The sequence below is a fragment of the Homo sapiens genome, chromosome 8 (assembly GCF_000001405.40).
Source record: "Homo sapiens chromosome 8, GRCh38.p14 Primary Assembly".
In the NCBI taxonomy this organism is placed as follows: Eukaryota; Metazoa; Chordata; class Mammalia; order Primates; family Hominidae; genus Homo; species Homo sapiens.
In genome coordinates, this window is record NC_000008.11 from 54156453 (window position 1) to 54172461 (window position 16009).

At 42.7% G+C, this 16009-nt stretch overlaps 1 annotated feature.

Moving 5' to 3' along the window:
• Window positions 9215–9264: an enhancer, noted in NCBI's record as "active region_27372". NCBI's record gives its function as "activates an Ori minimal core promoter by ATAC-STARR-seq in GM12878 lymphoblastoid cells {active_cell/tissue: GM12878}" and the evidence as "EXISTENCE:reporter gene assay evidence [ECO:0000049][PMID:35858748]".

A 16009-nucleotide genomic window follows, 5' to 3' on the forward strand; every position in this document is an offset into this window, starting at 1 on the left:
CATGACACAAAATGTACAATTTCAACCGTTCGTAAGTGTACATTAAGTCGCTTTAAGTGCATGATATACATTAAGTGCATTCACAAGGTTATGCAACAATCACTGCTATCCATTTCCAGAACTTTTTCATCATTCCAAACCTAAACTCCATTCAATTAAACTGTAACTCTCCATTTTCTCCTGCCCCAGCCCTTTGTAACTATATTATTCTACTTTCTGTCTATGAATTTGTCTATTCTATGTATCTCATATAAGTGGCACCATATGATATTTGTCCTTTTGTGTCTGGCCTGTTTTACCTAGTTCATGTGGTTCATCCATATGACAGCATGTATCAAAATTTCATTCTTAAATTTAAAAAAATTTTAATTGTGGTACAATACATATCACACAAGGCCGGATGTGGTGGTTCATGCCTGTAATCCCAGCACTTTGGGAGGCTGAGGCAGGCAGATTACCTGAGGTCAGGAATTCAAAACCAGCCTGGCCAACATGGCAAAACCCCGTCTCTACTATAAATACAAAAATTAGCTGGGCATGGTGGCGGGCGCCTGTAATCCCAGCTACTTGGGAAGCTGAGGCGGGAAAATCCCTTGAACTTGGGAGGTGGAGGTTGCAGTGAGCCAAGATTGCATCACTGCACTCCAGCCTGAGAGACAGAAGGAGACTCTGTCTCAAAACAAACAAACAAAATCACACAAAAAATATCATCTTAACCATTTTTAAGTGTGCAGTTCAATAGTGTTAAGTATGTTCACACTGTTGTGCAGTAGATATCCAGAACTTTTTCATCTTGCAAGATGGAAACTCTGCAAGATGGAAACTCTATACCCCTTTAAACAAACAACTCCCTATTTCTTTCTTTTTCTTTTTCTTTTTCTTTTTCTTTTTTTTGTTTTTGAGACGGATTCTCGCCCTGTCGCCCAGGCTGGAGTGCAATGGCACGATCTCGGCTCACTGCAACCTCCGCCTCCTGGTGCAAGTGATTCTCTGGTCTCATCCTCCTAGTAGCTGAGATTACAGGCGCCCGCCACCATGCCTGGCTAATTTTTTGTATTTTCAGTAGAGACGGGGTTCTCAACATGTCGGCCAGGCTGGTCTTGAACTCTTGACCTCAGGCGATCCACCTGCCTCAGCCTCCCAAAGTGCTGGGATTACAGGCGTGAGTCACCGCACCCAGCCAACAACTCCCTATTTCTTCCTCCCCTCCCCCAGTCCCTGGCAACCACCATTCATCTTTCCTTTTCAATGAATTTGACTACTTTAGATACCTTATTTAAGTGGAATCAGAAGTATTTGTCCTTCTGTGACTGGCTTATTTCATTTAGCATAATGTCTCATGCTTCATTCATCTTGAGCACCTGTCAGAATTTCCTTCCGTTTTAAGACTGAATAATATTCCATCGTATGTATATACCAGATTCTATTTATTCACTCCTCTGTTGAGGGACATTTGGGTTGTTTCCATCTTTTGGCTGCTGTGGTTGATGTTGCCCTGAACATTGGTTTTCAAGTTTGAGTTCTTGCTTTTTTTTTTTTTGATGGAGTCTCACTCTGTCACCCAGGCTGGAGTGCAGTGGTGCAATCTCGGCTTGCTGCAACCTCCAGCTCCCAGGTTCAAGCGATTCTCCTACCTCAGCCTCCCGAGTAGCTGGGATTACAGGTATGTGCTGCCATGCCCGGCTAATATTTTCTGTGTTTTTCCAGTAGAGATAGGGTTTTACCATGTTGGCCAGGCTGGTCTCGAACTCCTGACCTCAGGTGATCCCCCGACTCGGCCTCCCAAAATGTTGGGATTACAGGCATGAGCCACCGCACCTGGCCATGAATTCTTGCTTTCAATTCTTTTGGGTATATACCTAGGAGTGGAATTGCTGGGTCATATGGTTATTCTATGTTTGAACTGTTTTTTTTTTTTTTTGAGATAGAGTCTCACACTGTTGCCCAGGCTGGAGTGCAAGTGGCTCGATCTCAGCTCACTGCAACCTCTGCCTTCCAAGTTCAAGCAGTTCTCTTGGCTCAGCCTTCAGAGCAGCTGGGATTACAGGTGTGTGCCACCACACCCCGCTAATTTTTATATATTTATTAGAGACAGGGCCTCACTATGTTGGCCAGGCTGATCTCCAACTCCTGACCTCAGATTATCTGCCCTGCTTGGCCTACAAGGCACTGTGCAGATAATTTTCAAATATTTATTTGATTAATCATTCCAAGGCTTGTTTATTGAGTACCTCCTAAGTCCCAAACTCTGGGTCTTCCATGCTGAATAAAATACATGGTCTTTGCCCTCATGCAGTTGATAGTCTAAAAGCAGAGTTGTTCACGCAAATGAATATAAAATTGCAATGAAGATAAGTGCTGGAAATGGTGTTTATGTGGGACACGACTGCATACAAGAAGGTAATCTGATTTAGTAAGTGAAATCAGGGAAGGATTCCTTTAGAAGTGACAAAACAAGGGTTGAGAGTGAGCCCAGTGAGGCGATGAGAGCAATCCTTCTGTGCAAAGGGAGCAGCGTGCATCAGGATGCTGTGCCTGAAGGAAGCATTGCGTTACAGAGATCTCAAAGACCTTTTTGGAACAAAAAAGCAAAGAAAGGCTGTAGGAAACAAGGTAAAAGACATTTCATCTTCACAGAAGTTTTTTAAACCTTGGGGTGAAATTCATATACCATAAAGTTGACAACTGAAAACAATTCAGCAGAATGTCATACATTCTCAGTGTTGTGCAACCACCTCCTCCATCTAGTTCCAAAGCATTTCATCACACCAAAAGGAAACTAATAGCCATTAAGCAGTCTGTATTCATCTCTCCCTGCCTCCAGCCCCTGGGAACTACTAATCTGCTTTCTTTCTCTTTTTTTTTTTTTTTGGAGACGGAGTTTCACTCTTGTCACCCAGGCTGGAGTGCAATGGCGTGATCTCAGCTCGCCGCAACCTCTGCCTCCTGGGTTCAAGCAATTCTCCTGCCTCCTGCCTCAGCCTCCCAAGTAGCTGGGATTACAGGTGCCTGCCACCACGCCCAGCTAATTTTTGTATTATTAGTAAAGATGGGGTTTCACCATGTTGGCCAATTTGGTCTCGAACTCCTGACCTCAGATGATCCACCCGCCTCAGCCTCCCAAAGTGCTAGGATTACAGGCATGAGCCACCACTCCCAGCCTATTAATCTGCTTTCTATCTCTACAGAATTATCTATTTTGGATATGTTATGTAAATGAAATCATACACTATGTGGTCTTTTGTGTCTGGCTTCCTTCACTTAATATATTTTCAAGGTTCATCCAATGTTGTAGCATGAACCAGTACTTCATTCCTTTTGATGGCTAAATAATATTCCATTGCATGTATATATGACAACTGTTTATCCACTCATTTGTTGATGAACATTTGGCCTGTTTCTACCTTTGAGTTATTGTGAATAAAGCTGCTGTGCACATTAGAGTGCAAGAAATGAGTCCCCGGTTTCAGTTATCTAGGGTATATGCTGGGGAATGGAATTACATGGTGATATGGTTTGGCTGTGTCCCCACCAAAATCTCAACTTGAATTTTATCTCCCAGAATTCCCATGCATTGTGGGAGGAACCTAGGGGGAGGTAATTGAATCATGGGGACCAGTCTTTCCCACGATATTCTCATTATAGTGAATAAGTCTCACACGATCTGATGGGTTTATCAGGGGTTTCCGCTTTTGTTTCTTCCTCATTTTTCTCTTGTGGCTGCCATGTAAAAAGTGCCTTTCACCTCCTGCCATGATTCTGCGGCCTCCCCAGCCATGTGGAACTATTAAGTCCAATTAAACCTGTTTTTCTTCTCAGTCTTGGGTATGTCTTTATTAGCAGCGTGAAAATGGACTAATATAGTAAATTGGTACGAGTAGAGTGGGGCGTTGCTGAAAAGATACCTGAAAACGTGGAAGTGACCTTGGAACTGGGTAACAGGGAGAGATTGGAACAGTTTGGAGAGTTCAAAAGAGGATAGGAAAATGTGGGAAAGTTTGGAACCTCCTAGAGACTTGTTGAATGGCTTTGACAAAAATGCTGATAGTGATATGAACAATAAAGTCCGGGCTGAGGTTGTCTCATGGAGATGAGGAACTTGTTGGGAACTGGAGCAAAGGTGACTCTTGTTATGTTTTAGCAAAGAGACTGGCAGCATTTTGCCCCTGCCTGAGAGAATTGTGGAACTTTGAACTTGAAAGAGATAATTTAGGGTATCAGGCAGAAGAAATTTCTAAGCAGCAAAGCATTCAAAAGATACCTTGGGTACTGTTAAAAGCATTCCATTTTAAAAGGGAAACAGAACATAAAAGTTCAGAAAATTTGCAGCCTGATGATGAAGTAGAAAAGAAAAACCCATTTTTTGAGGATAAATTCAAGCCAGCTGCAGAAATTTGCATATGTAGCAAGGAGTCTAATGTTAATCTCCAAGACCATGGGGAAAATGTCTCCGGGCCATGTCAGAGACCTTCATGGCAGCCCCTCCCATCACAGGCTGGAGGCCAGGAGGAAAAAGAGGTTTCGTGGGCCAGGCCCAGCATCCCCGTGCTTTGTGCAGCCTAGGGACTTGGTGCCCTGTGTCCCAGTCGCTCCAGCTGTGACTGAAAGGGGCCAACGTAGAGCTCGGGCTGTGGCTTCAGAGGGTGGAAGCTCTAAGCCTTGGCAGCTTCCACGTGGTGTTGAGCCTACAGGTGCACAGAAGTCAAGAACTGAGGTTTGGGAACCTCTGCCTAGATTTCAGAAGATGTTTGGAAATGCCTGGATGCCCAGGCAAAAGTTTGCTGCAGGAGTGGGGCCCTTATGGAGAACCTCTGCTGGAGCAGTGCAGAAGGAAAATGTGGGATCGGAGCCCCGACAGAGAGTCCATACTGGGGCACTGCCTAGTGGAACTGTGAGAAGACAGCCACCGTCCTCCAGACCCCAGAATGGTAGATCCACCAACAGCTTGCACCATGTGCCTGGAAAAGATGCAGGTACTCAATGCCAGCCCATGAAGGCAGCCAGGAGGGAGGCTGTACCCTGCAAAGCCACAGGGAGGGAGCTGTCCAAGACCATGGGAACCCACCTCTTGCATCAGCGTGACCTGGATGCGAGACCTGGAGTCAAAGGAGATCATTTTGGAGCTTTAAAATGTGACTGCCCTGCTGGATTTCAGACTTGCATGGGCCCTGTAACCCCTTTGTTTTGGCCCATTTCTCCCATTTGGAATGGCTGTATTTACCCAATACCTGTACCCCCATTGTATCTAGGAAGTAACTAGCTTGCTTCTGATTTTACAGGCTCATAGGCGGAAGGGACTTGCCTTGTCTCAGATGAGACTTTGGGCTGTGGACTTTCGGGTTAATGCTGAAATAAGACTTTGGGGGACTGTTGGGAAGGTATGATTGGTTTTGAAATGTGAGGACATAAGATTTGGAGGGGCCAAGGGTGGAATGATATGGTTTGGCGGTGTCCCCACCAAAATCTCAATTTGAATTGTATCTCCCAGAATTCCCACGTATTGTGGGAGGGCACCAGAGGGAGGTAATTGAATCATGGGGGCCGGTCTTTCCCATGCTATTCTCGTGGTGGTGAATAAGTCTCACAAGATCTGACGGGTTTATCAGGGGTTTCCGCTTTTGCTTCTTCCTCATTTTTCTCTTGCCCCTTGCCACGCAAGAAGTGCCTTTTGCCTCCCACCATAATTCTGAGGCCTCCCCAACCATGTGGAACTGTAAGTCCAATTAAACCTCTTTTTCTTCCCAGTCTCAGGTATGTCTTTATCAGCAGTGTGAAAACGGACTAATACACATGGTAATTCCATGTTTAACTTTTTGAGGAACAGCCAAACTGTTCTCCACAGTGGCTGCACCATTTTACATTCCTGCCAGCCGCTCATGAAGCTTCCAATTTTTCCATATCTTTGCCAAGATTTATTATTGTCTGTCTTTTTGATTGTAGCCTTTCTAGTGGGTGTGGAGTGGTATTTCATTGTGGTTTTGATTTGCATTTCCCTAGTAATTAACGGTATTGATAATCACTTTCATGAACTTATTTGCCACTTGTATGTTTTCTTTGGATAAATGTCTTTTCCGGTCCTTTGCCTATTTTAAAATGGTACCATTTGTCTTTTTATTGAATTATAATAATATTTATGTATTCTGGATACTAGATCCTTATTATATATATTATTTGCAAATATTTTCTCTCATTCTGTGTATTGTCTTTTCACTTTCTTGACAGTGTCTTTTAATAAACAAAAGTTTTTAATTTCAATGAAGTCTAAATTATCTATTTTTTCTTTTTTTTTTTTGCCTGTGGTTTTGTTGTCACATCTAAGTTATGATTACCTAATGCTAAGTCATGCAGATTTACTCCTAGGTCTTAAAATTCTCTGTTTTCTAGCTTTAGCTTTTCATTTGAGCATTTAATACTTTTGAGTTAATGTTTGTATGTGATGTGAGGCAAGAGTCCAACTTTATTCTTTTGCATGTGGTATCAAGTTGTCCCAGCAACATTTACTGAAAAGAAATATTCTGTTCCCATTGAATTGTCTTGTATCTTTGTAGAAAATCAGTTGGCCATAAGTGCCATTGAGCTATATATGTCTAACTTTATACACTTGATACATAAAGTCTTATACAGTCTTGATTACTGTAGTTTTGTAGTAAGTTTTGAAAATAAGAAATCCTAGCCTTATTCTTCTTTTTCAAGATGGTTTTGACTCCTCTGGGCCCCTTGAATTTCCATACAAATTTGAGAATCACCTTGCCAATTTCTGCAAAAATGGCAGCTTGCATTTTGATAAATGCAAGCTTTAAATTTGTAGATCAATTCAGAGAATATGGCTATTTTAACAATACTAAGTCTTCTAGCCAGACATGGTGGCTCACTTCTGTAATTCCAGCACTTTGGGAGACCAAAGTGGGAGGATCACTTAAGCCCAGGGGTTTGGGACCAGCCTAGGCAACATAGTGAAACTCCATCTTTACAAAAAAGTAAAAAATAAAAAATTAGCTGGTGGAACATGCCTATAGTCTCAGGTACCTGAGGGACAGGCAGAGGCTAAGGTGAATCCCTTGAGCCCTGGAGGTTGAGGCTGCAGTGAGCCATGATTGTGCCACTGTACTCCACCTTGAGTGACAAAGTGAGACCATGTCTCAAAAAAAAAAGTCGTCTAATCCATGAACATGGGCTATCTCTTATCAGTATGTGTTTTTGTCTTTTATTCTATTAATTTGGTGTATTACATTGATAGATTTTCAGATATTAAACCAACCTTGTATACCTGGGATAAATTCCACTTGGTCATAGTATATAATCCTCTTTTATATGTTGCTGAATTTGGATTGCTTGTATTTTGTTGAGTTTTGCATGTATCATTTAAAATATATTTGTAGTTTTTTGTGATGTCTTTGGTATCAGTGTTATACTAGGCAAATAGAATGATTTCGAAGTGTTTCCTCCTCTTTTTTTTTTTGAAGAATTTTTGAAGAATTGGCATTAATTCTTTAAATATTTGGTAGAATTCACCAGTGAAGTCATCTGACCCTGGGCTATTCTTTGTGGGAAGTTTTTGATTAATAATTCTCTTGTTATACATCTTTTCAGATTTTCTATTCTTTTTTATTTCTCTTTTTTTCTGTGATTTTCTACTCTTCTTGAGTCTGTTTTTGTAGTTTGTGTCTGTCAAGTAATTTATCCATTTCAACTAGGTTATCTAATTGGTTGGCACACAATTTTTCACAGTGTTCTCTTTATTTTTATTATTTTATTTTATTTTTGAGACAGAAATGTGCTCTGTCACCCAGGCTGGAGTGCAAGTGGCATGATCTGGGATCACTGCAACCTCTGCCTCCCGGGTTCCAGCCATCCTTCTGCCTCAGCCTCCCGAGTAGCTGGGACTGCATGCATGCACCACCATGCCCAGCTAATTTTTGTATTTTTAGTAGAGATGGAGTTTCACCATGTTGGTTAGGCTGGTCACAGTGTTCTCTTATAATTCTTTTATTTATTTTTTATATTTCTTGAGACAGGATCTCACTCTGGTTGTCCAGGCTGGAGTGCAGTGGTGCCATCTCAGCTCACTGCAGCCTAAACCTCCTGGGCTCAGGTGATCCTCCCACCTCAGCTTCTCGAGTAGCTGGGACTATGGGCAAGCATCACCATGACTTGCTAATTTTTTGTATTTTTAATAGAGGTGAGGTTTCACAATGTGTCCCAGGCTGGTCTCAAACTCCTGGACTCAAGCAATCCACCAGCCTCGGCCTCTCATGGTGCTGGGATTACAGGTGTAAGCCACCATGCCAGGCCTGTTATAAGCCTTTTTTATTTTGGGTTGGGACTGTTGTCTTATTCATTTCTGATTTAGTCATTTGCTCTGCACGTGGTAAAAGATACCTTTTATATTACCATAAGAATATTTATAAACCAAAACTTTAAAATATTTCAATTTTTTAAAATTTGAGACAGAGTCTCGCTCTGTCGTCCAAGCTGGAGTGCAGTGGTGTGATCTTGGCTTACTGCAACCTCTGCCTCCTGGGTTCAAGCAATTCTCCCACCTTAGCCTCTCGAGTAGCTGGGATTGCAGGCACATGCCACCACCCCTGGCTAACTTTTGTATTTTTAGTAGAGATGGGGTTTCTCCATGTTGGCCAGGCTGGTCTTGAACTCCTGGCCTCAAGCAATCCACCTGCCTCGGCCTTCCAAAGTGCTTGAATTATAGGCATGAGTCACCGTGCCCTCCCCAAAACATTTTTTTTAATGTAAAGAAACTTACATTTAAAATAAAACTAGAATAGTAGACATACTATGTGCAAATGCCATAAATTGACATCCAGTCTGCCAACATAAGGATTCTATACATTTTTCTTGTGTACTTTCTGTAAGTCCTAAACATTTTCCTTCACAGTGCCTTCTCATATCAAGCAGAGGTTTGTGGTTATTTCTCTTCCCTGACTTCAATATTACATTGACATCAAATCATCACTCAACTGATTTTAAGATGAAAGACCACTGGTTTGGAGGACTAAGATTTATAATGCAGCAGGTGTTATAAACTGCTGACTGTCTTAAATATAAGGAGTGACTCTGGCCCAGAGAAATTCCTGGGGAGGCTGGGTCTCTTTTTATTGCTTCTCCCGTATGTAGGTGGGACAGTTCTCAGGAGGGATTGGGTCATTGTTCTGTGTACAAAAGTTGCTGGAGGCAGAGGTAGAAATTTGCTGTCTTGCACAGGGAGATGTGACAGAGAATTTTAGGCCATAGCCCAGTCCAGCCAGCTGTAGCTCAGTGTTGCTGATAGCGAGCCTAGTTCCTCTCTGGAGTCACATTGGTCAGAATAACCTGACACTGGGAAAGGAGTTATTCTAATGCATACTTATTGCTTCCTATTAATACCGTATGTAGCATCTCTGCAATTTTATTGCATTAACTGGAGAATGAGAAAGTGTTAGCTGCTGCTGGATATTGTCCGGAGTTAGAGAAGCTGCCATTATATTCCCCTCATGACTCGCCGCTGGCCCCTGCTGTCGAAGCTTCGCTGTGGCTTCACTCTCAGGGCGTGTATCTGCCATCACTGCCTGCATGCTGATAGCCTGGGACACACTATTGCACACCAAGCGCCTTTGAGCAGGCACTTGTCTCACTTTTCTCAAATGCTGAGTTGAAGGGGTGTCCACGCCTTTTTCCTCATTGAGCCAGTAGTCTCTTGGTTACTTGTATGCAGTAGTTATCGAGAGTGAAATGCTGACTTCTGCTTTGACAGACTAGAGTAAGGGACCCACGGAAGTCATGAGCAATGACCCCTGAGAAGCCTTCCAGCTCTGGAGCGCTCCAAATCATCCTCCTTTTCCCTCGAGTGGAAAAGTAGGTTTTGTTATCACGAAGTGAATGTAGCCGGCTCAAAATAGGCAAGACTGCCACCTACTGACCAAATGGGAACATTCCTCAGGGAATTTCTAGGTTTGATCTTTGCCCTACAATTAATTGGGATAATTAGTTATTCATGAATTTATAATTCAACAAACCTGAAATACACACAGGACACAATGCTGGACACTGGAGATAATAAACAAAAATTTTTTTTTTGAGACGGAGTCTCGCTCTGTCGCCCAGGCTGGAGTGCAATGGCACCATCTCAGCTCACTGCAACCTCCACCTCCGGGTTGAAGTGATTCTCTGGCCTCATCCTCTTGAGTAGCTGGGATTACAGATGCACGCCACCACGCCTGGCTAATTTTTGTATTTTTGTAGAGACAGGGTTTCACCATGTTGGCTAGGCTCCTCTCAAACTTCTGACCTCATGATCAGCCCACCTTGGCCTCCCAAAGTGCTGGGGTTACAGGAGTGAGCCACCGCACCCGGCCAGGAGATATTAAAATTAGAAAGGTAGAGTTATTGCCCCATGGGCATACAGAGACCAGGAGAAGGGAACAGGTAATTAAGGGAACAAATCATTAAAATACAGTGTGGTGCTATGCTATAAGTAATCTGCCTCCCAACACTCTGGTTCACCTTCAATTTTAAAGGTATTGGAACCTAAATCTGGGTACCACAAACTCAAGTTCTTTATTGGGAGAAGTTGGTGACCAAAAAAAAAAAAAAAACAAAAAGAAAAAGCAACCAAACCAAAAGTAGTAACACTGCCTTTTACCGTGATGTTCACTTGACCCTCTCAGAAACACTTTAAAGTTGGATACCATTATCTCTCTGTTTTTAGATGTCGACTTTCTTAAGTCTCCTAAACTTGCATTTATAGTACCTCCTCGCATCTTAAGAATACAGAATAGGCAAACTCTTAAAAAAGTCCCTTGCGACTATATATTATACATATGTATCTGAAAGCTGCATATTATTTAATAAAGAGAAGCCCAAAGAGGTGTGCACTCACAAGCTAGCAAGGTAGCAAAGTGGTTTAAAGTAAGAGTTTTGGAATGACTTGGTCCTGGGTTTATGTTCCAAGTTGGCCACTTACCAAAGAGGGCTATTAACACGCTAAGCCACAATGAGATACCATCTCACACCAGTCAGAATGGCTATGATTAAAATAAAAAAATAGGCCGGGTGCGGTGGCTCACACCTGTAATCCCAGCACTTTGGGAGGCCAAGGCAGGAGGATCACTTGAGGTCAGGAGTTTGACAGCAGCCTGGCCAACATAGTGAAACCCCATCTCTACTAAAAATACAAAAAATTATCCTGGTGTGGTACCCTGCGCCTGTAATCCCAGCTACTCGAGAGGCTGAAGCAGGAGAATAGCTTGAACCCGGGAGGCAAAGGGTGCAGTGAGTCAAGATCATGCCACTGCACTCCAGTCTGGGCAACAGAGCTAGACTCTCTCTGGAAAAAAAAAAAAAAAAAAAAAAAAGAAAAGAAAAACAGATGCTGGCAAGGTTGTGAAGAAAAGGGAATGCTTCTACACTGCTGGTGGGAATGTAAAGTAGTTCAGCCACTGTGGAAAGCAGTTTGGAGATTTCTCAAATAACTTAAAATAGAACTACCATTCAACCTAGCAATCCCATTACTGGGTATATACTCAAAGGAATATAAATCATTCTATCATAAAGAAACACACACACATATGTTCATAGCTGTGCTAGTCACAATAGCAAAGACATGAAATCAACCTAAGTGCCCATCAAAGGTAGATTGCTTAAAGAAAATGTGGTTCATATACACCATGGAATACTACGCAGTCATAAAAAAAAGAATAGGCTACGCACAGTGGGCAGATCACTTGGACCAGGGGTTGGAGAACAGCCTGGGTAACATAGCAAAACCCTGTCTCTACAAAAAAATACAGAAGTTAACTGGGCATGGTGCAGCATGCCCGTAGTCCTAGCTACTTGGGAGGCTGAGGCAGGAGGATTGTCTGAACCCAGGAGGCAGAGGTTGCAGTGAGCCATGATTGCGCCACTGCACTCAAGCCTGGGTGACAGAGACACTGTCTCAAATAAATTAAAAAAAAAAAAAGAAAGAAAATCTATTTTTTTTTTCCAGCAACATGGATGGAGCTAGAGGCCATTATCTTCAGCAAATTAACGCAGGAACAGGAAACCAAATACTGCATGTTCTCACTTATATGTGGGAGCTAAACATTGAGTACATGTGGACACAAAGAAGGGAACAACAGACACTGGTATCTACTTGAGGCTGGAGGGTGAGAGGGAGAGGATAGAAAAACTACCTATAGCGGATTGTGCTGATGATCTGGGTGACAAAATAATCTGTATATTGAACTGTCACAACACAGCAACATGTAATTTACCCACATAACAAACCTGCATATGCACCCCTTGGACCTAAAATGAATGTCATAGGCCGGGCGTGTTGGCTTACGCCTGTAACCCCAGCACTTTGGGAGGCCGAGATGGGTGGATTACCTGAGGTCAGGAGTTTGAGACCAGCCTGGTCAACATGATGAAACCCTGTCTACTAAAAATACAAAAATTAGCTGGGTGTGGTGGTAGGTGCCTGTAATGCCAGCTACTTGGGAGGCTAAGGCGGGAGAATTGCTTGAACCTGGGAGATGGAAGTTGCAGTGAGCCGAGGTCGCGCCACTGTACTCCAGCCTGGGTGACAGAGAGAGACTCCGTCTCAAAAAAAAAAAAAAAAAAATAGAGTAAGGGTTGAATATTCAAGTAGATTGATTTTGGGCAATTTTTAAAAATAATAGTTAATTCAACATCACCAATTCATCTCAAGTAATCCCTTGTAGAAAGGGAGAAAATGAGTTTGATTTATGGATTGTTAGCATCTAAAATGATCTTTACACATAATAAAAACTTTCTAATTCTTTTTAGGCAATTAGGCTTAATAGTCAAACTCACTAAAATGTGCTACATATATAAAAACTAAGTCCATGCTACTCAGAGTGGTTTATGAACCAGCAGCATTGGCACCTCCTGGGAGCTTGTTAGCAGTTAGATTTTCAGTTCTCACCCTTCAATTTCTGAACGAGGTTCTGCTTTTTAACAAGATCCCCAGATGATTTCTGTGCACATAAAAGGTTGAAAAACTGATAGAAGTTAAGGAGCCTATATTATCATTGCAGTACCACATCTTGAACAATAGGTGGAGCTATTTCTTCAAATTTTGGCTACTTCTTAAGGGTGTTTAGAACAGCCGCTGTAAGTTGTTTTGCAATTCTTTTTTTCCCATTGACATGACATTTTGCTATTTAAAGGAAGAGAAAACACACGCCTGTAATCCCAGCCCTTTGGGAGGCCGAGGCGGGTGGATCAGCTGAGGTCAGGAGTTCGTGGCCAGCCTGGCCAAGATGGTGAAACCCCATCTCTACTAAAAATACAAAAATTAGCTAGGCGTGGTGGCACGCGCCTGTAGTCCCAGCTACGCGGGAGGCTGAGGCAGGAGAATCGCTTGAACCCGGGAGGTGGAGGTTGCAGTGAGCCGAGATTGTGACACTGCCCTCCAGCCTGGGAGACATGAGTGAGACTCTGTTAAGAAAAAAAAAAAAGCTATTCTGATATACAGATTATATCTGATGAATGATTGTGGAAAAGAAAATTTAAAAATTTCTCTATTAAAGTCTAAAAAGTTTTAGAAAGACTCAAACAATTATTTTAAAAGTCCAGGTAAATATTGAAGAATGAGATCACATTACTTGTATTGTAGATTGTGATGCAGCTGCAATAAAACTAAGTAAATTAAGTTGAAAAACTTTTGCTTTAATCTATGGACATGATGTGTGTGTGTGTGTGTGTGTGTATACTTTATTTCAGGAAGTACGCTCACTAAAGAAATGTGAAAAATATAACAACAAGGATGGCGTCATGTTATAATGACATAAATAAACGATGTTGAATTTTTAACCCATTAAACATGATCATCAAAGACATCTAGTCAAGGTCATGGTAAAAATGAACTTCCTGCTTCTTTACTTTAGAATAAACAAAGAAATCTATAAATTGAGACTTCAAGCTTACAGCTACGGGAACTCCAAGGCGAGAGGCTAAGTGACAGGAGGGAGAACTGGCCGCAGCTGCTCGCCCTGCACTTCTGGGCTGCACCAAATCGCCACAGGCCTCACCCTCCTGGCTTTGTCTCCACACAGTGACAGCCCACTGACTCTTTTCATGAAGGGCGAAACACAGTAAGCGTTCCTTGAAGCACTTTTATCCCCTCTGCCTGAAGGTTTTGAGAGCAGGCTTCTGGGAGAGGGTCCCAGCTTGTGTTGGGCCTAATGACCTTGGGAATTGGAGTTCCCTTTTTTTCCACTGCACCAGCTTATGTGCTCATGGTCCTCTTCAGTCTGAGTGGATGTCCACCTGTTAGGTTACTGCTGTAAGGTGCAAAGACTGTGGATGGATGAAACACCCCAACAGGGAAATGAGAAATCTGAAAAAGTAGTCCATAAGCATACGGAGTCTGCACAACCTTACCAAGAATGAAATCATAATTGCAGAATCCAGTGTCAGCGAGAATATGTGGAACTGGGTACCCTCTTACACCATCGTTGGGACTATACTTGGCATATCCTTTTTGAGGGCAACTTTACAGTGTTTGTCAAAGTAAAAAGTCCTTATATTTTGGCCCAAAACCATGTTCTAAGCTAACAATTGTTTTCTAAGGTTGGAAGCCTGACAAAATGGCCTGCAAATGGGGAGAGTTGGCAAGTGCCCCAAACTACTGCTGCTCCCTGTGCACCTGCCGCCTGGGTCTATGCTATTCATTCTCATTTTAGTTAATTATTATTATTATTATTATTTTGAGATGGAGTCTCACTCTGTTGCCCAGGCTGGAGAGCAATGGCGCGATCTCGCTCACTGCAACCTCTGCCTCCTGGATTCAAGTGATTCTCCTGCCTCAGCCTCTCGAGTAGCTGGGATTACAGGCACGTGCCACCACACCAGGCTAATTTTTGTATTTTTATTAGAGACGGGGTTTCACCATGTTGGCCAGGCTGGTCTTGAACTCTGAACTCAAGTGATCTGCCCTGCTCGGCCTCCCAAAGTGCTGGGATTACAGGTGTGAGCCACCGTGCCTGGCCATTTTAGTTGATTCTAATTGGAAATCAGTCACAGACATTGGCAGCTCAAGAGATAACTTTTTTTTTTCTTTTTTTTCCCTCGTGATGCAACAGTATTTTCTTTTCTTTTAAAATTGAGACGGGGTCTTGCTATGTTGCCCAGGCTGGTCTTGAACTTCTGTGCTCAAGCAATCCTGCCTTAGCTTTCTGAGTAGCTGGGATTATAGGCATGTGCCACTGCACCCAGTTATTTATTCTCATTTTATAGGTAAACCCAAAGAGAGCAGAACTTTGATCCCTGTAGCCAGTGAGTTGCCAAATCCGGATTTCAAATAGTCTTAGAAATACCAAATTACACTGAAAATAAATGCATGGATAAAGGAGTGATGGTGTTTAAGGGTTAAAATATTTTCTATTACTCAAAAAGGATTGTGAAATAAAGGCTTTTCCAGTTGAGCAGAGCACCAGCCTGGGCCAGCTGAGCCACACTGCCTTCTGTGGCTTCTGATTACTCATGCAGCAGGAACTGGGAGAGGGTGTCCTGGTCTTTGTTCCCACTCCCTATTCTGACAGCTCCTCCATGGGGAGAATCTTTTCCATCTCTAAATGAACTCTTGCAGGGCGAGGACTGTGTATTGGGTGTCAAGGTCAGAAGCAGAATCCAGTGTTCCAAATCATAACACAAAGAAAACCAACAAGGCTGTTTTTAGTTCCTAAGTACACTACATGATAACTGAGATACATTTAAATCATTGGAAGTGGAGAAAATTGGGGAAAAAGTTATTTATTTATTTATTTATTTTTGATACAGTTTCGCTCTTGTTGCCCAGGTTGGAGTGCAATGGCGTGATCTCCGCTCACTGCAACCTCTGCCTCCCAGGTTCAAGTGATTCTCCCGCCTCAGCCACCCAAGTAGCTGGGATTCCAGGTGCCCACCACCATGCTTGGCTAATTTTTGTATTTTTAGTAGAGATAGGGTTACACCATGTTAACCAGGCTGGTCTCAAACTCCTGACCTCAGGTGATCCACCTGCCTCGGCCTC